The following is a 3,803-nucleotide window of genomic DNA, read 5'->3' as shown; positions in this document are numbered from 1 at the left end:
TTCTGATCTCTAAACTTTGAAATACTCAGAGGTATCCTTCTCTATCTACTCTCTTAAGATAATCTCAGCTATATTCATGACATCTTATACACTTATATGTAGGTGATTCACATGAGAGGAAAATAGGAGAGAGGGAAGGGAAGAGAGTAGTTAAACAACATTTGAATAATACCTAATAATAATGATTATTGAACAGCCACATTGTGGCAGGTACAGTGTAAGAGCTTTCACCATGTTATCTAATTAAATCGTCACGGTTGTCCTATACTATGCCATACTATACTATACTATTTTGTATTATACTTGGCCTTCTTTTTTGTTGCCCTTCCATTGAGATTAGATCCTAATCCCTCTACAAAGACATTGTATAAGCAATTCATAACCATTATTTAACCAATTTTGATGCAATGGATCATGTCTAATACAAACTTCCTGTGATTTCTTCAACGGTAAGAATCAACTCTCTCTCTACACATCTTTTTCACTACCACCTCACTTCTTTGCTCTCTTTCATCAAACCTCTAAAAAAGAGTAAAACTGTTTTTGCTATTTCTAATTGCTCATCTCTCTTTCTCTCTTGAACCCATTCCAATCAAGCTTTCATCCCACTATTTTGCTAAAATTGTTCTTTTCAGATCAGCAAGGAAATCTACATTGCTAAATGCAATGAACAGTTATAAGCCCTCATATGACTTGACTATAAGTAGTAATTGATAAAGCTGATCACTCGTTCTTTGTTGTAACAGTTCCTTGACTTGGATTTCAGTATTTCTCTGGTTTTTCTTCCATCTCCCTGACTGGTCCATCTCAATCTCCTTTGCTGATACTCTTATTCTTCATGAACTCTAAAGGTTGTAGTGATCCAGGGTTCAGTTTAGTTCTTGCACATCTTTTTGCATCCACACTTACTCATTAGGTTGATACATTAGTTTGTTATTGTAACAAAGTACTTCAGTTCTGGAGGCTGAAAATCTGTGATCAAGGTTTTAACATGACAGGGTTGGTTCCTTCTCAGGGCTGTGAGGGAAGGTCTACTCCAAGCCTCTCTCTTTGGCTTATAGATGGGTGTCTTCATGTTGATGTCTTCATGTTGACAGGGTATTCTGTGTGTCTGTGTGTGTGCGTCCAAATTTCTCCTATCCATAAGGTCACAGTTTGTATTGGAATAGGGCCAACCTAATACCTAATTTTAATTCAATCTGTGTAAAGACACTTTCTTTAAATTAGGTCACATTTTGAGGTACTAGAGATTAAGACTTCAACATATAAATGTTGAAGAGAGCACAATTCAACTGATAACATTTGATTTTATTAAATATCTTGGCTTTAAATGCCATCCATCTGCTGATGAGTACCCTAATGGTGTCTCCAGCCTTGGCCCCTGCCGTCAATCCAGCCACCCATTCTACGACTTCTCGCAGATGTCTACTAGACATCTTAGGTTTAATATGTCCATACCGAACTCCTAATCTCTGCACCTCACCCACCAAACACATTCTTGCTCCTCCAAAGCCTTCCTCATTTTAGTAAATGGAAACTTCATGCTTCCAGTTTCTTAAGCCAAAAATCTTTGGATCATCCTTAATGCTTCTCTTTTTCTCATATTCAACATCTAATCTGTTAGAAAACACTGTCTATTCCATATTCAAAGTTTATCCAGAATTTTCCCACTCCCCACTATATCCTCTGTTACCAACCTAATCTGAGTTACCATTCTCTTTCACCTAAATTATTAAAGATGGTCTCTTCATAGGTCACCCTGCTTCATCCCTCGCCCCCATGGCATATTCTAATCACAGAAACCAGAGTGATTTTTTTTAAACATAAGTCACATCATGTCAGTTTCCTGCTTTGAATCTTCCATTGGCTTCCCTTACAATGGCCTACCAATTCCTTCATTATATTGGACCTAAGTTAGTTTTCTAACCCTATGTCCTACTACACTGCCGCCTCCCCACCCTCTTCTCTCCTCTAGTTACATAGGCCTTTTTGTTGTTTTTCAAACAGGCAGGCTCTGACATTAAGGCATTTGAGTGAGTCCTTGCCTCTGCCTGGAATGCTCTTCTCCTGAGTGACAGTATAGCTTATTAGCTTAGTCTGTTACCATCTTCAAATCTTTGCTCAAATAGCACTTTCACAATGCCTTGCCTGATCTCTCTGCTTGAAATTCCAAACCCCCTTCAGCCTCCCAAGCACTCTCTGTACCCTTGCACTGCTTTTGTTCCCACAGCATTTATCACCGTCTGCTAAACTATGTATTCACTTTTTTGTTAGTTTCTATACACAGATCATCACATGTCTCTTAGTTTACAGATTTATATGTGAAAAACTCAAACTTGATTTGAAGAAACATTAGTCGACTCCTTCACTTTTTCTTCAACCACCAGTCATTGCATACCTTCTTTTCCGTGCCAGACCTTGTGCTGAACAGTAGAGACACAAAGATGAGTACATCAAGATCTTTGTCCTTGCCCTTGAGGAAATCACAGTCAAATCAGGGAGAAAGACAGGAGTCCCAGTTTTCTCAGACGGGGAGTGACACATGGCCCTGTGAGTGAAAAACACCATTGATCTAGAGGGACTGTGCATAACAAACCGAGAATTAACCACTTACCAAGTCAAACTCGAATGTGCCCTTCCCCAAGGCTACTCTGGCTTTGCAGTTTTTCTGTATTTATAAAAATAAGGAATGCTCATCTTCATAGCCTCTCTAATTTATATGCTTATGAAGTCATGACTATGATTATGTATGCAAATGAAATTAATTTCAAACTTAATCAGAGTCTTTCTTTAGTGTTTGGGGGACTAGGACTCTGCACTACTACTGGGGCACCTCATGTTCCATAGGAGTAAGGTCTAATTTCAAATGCAGGAGGAGAGCTGCTATTTAAGGAACCCTGCTGTGAGTTCCTTTTTAAAGCAGCCTTTTTATTTCAAAGTGAATAATCTCCCCCAATTTATCTTCTTTGTATGATTTGAAAAAAGTCTGATGCATGCACTTCTAATACATGGGAATTTGAGTTTGTGCATGATACAGTTGAAAGAACCTTGGATTGAGTCTTTGAGCATTGCAGCTGATTGATTCTTTGACTTCAGACAAAGCTTTTTTTTTTTCCTTTTAACTTTTCTGGTATCTCAAATTCCCCCTTTATTAAGCAAAGGACTGCACTTCCTGTTCCCTAAATTTACTTGCCATTGATAGGACTCATGATTCTATTAGTCTATAGTGTCCTTGCTTCTTCCACCTACTTGATTGGCCTCTTCATACAGCCTTGGTTAACAGTGAACTCTGATGGAACCCTATGAATACTGAATCTAATTTCTGCCCTATGAAAGCTATACACCGAATATTCAAGTAGAGCCAGATTTTACTTTCATTCCATTTAGTTGCCTATCCTATCCGGATTTTAGGACCTGTTCATTTGAATGGGGCTTTGTTATTCTTAAAGAATATTGGGAATATTCTTTTAAAAGAGTAGTAGGAATTTTTTTAAATAATATTTTTAAGGACGATTAGGAATATAATGAATGGTAATACACAATTAGACACACTTAATGCATTTATATCTACCCTCATAAAACCCATGGGAAGTAGATAGCTTCCAGTTTTACAAAATACAATCTACTTCCCATGAGTTTTATATATATTTACTCAACAGACGCTTATAAAGCACTTCTTATGCTCCTAGCACAACTCTAAGGGTTTACAAATATTAACTTATTTAATCCTCATTTTACCCCATGAGGACATGATGGCAGGAGGATTGAAGCAGCTTGCTCAAGGTTATAGATCTCTTAATTGG

The sequence above is a fragment of the Homo sapiens genome, chromosome X, assembly GCF_000001405.40.
Source record: "Homo sapiens chromosome X, GRCh38.p14 Primary Assembly".
Classification (NCBI taxonomy): Eukaryota; Metazoa; Chordata; class Mammalia; order Primates; family Hominidae; genus Homo; species Homo sapiens.
This window is presented reverse-complemented; position numbering follows the sequence as displayed.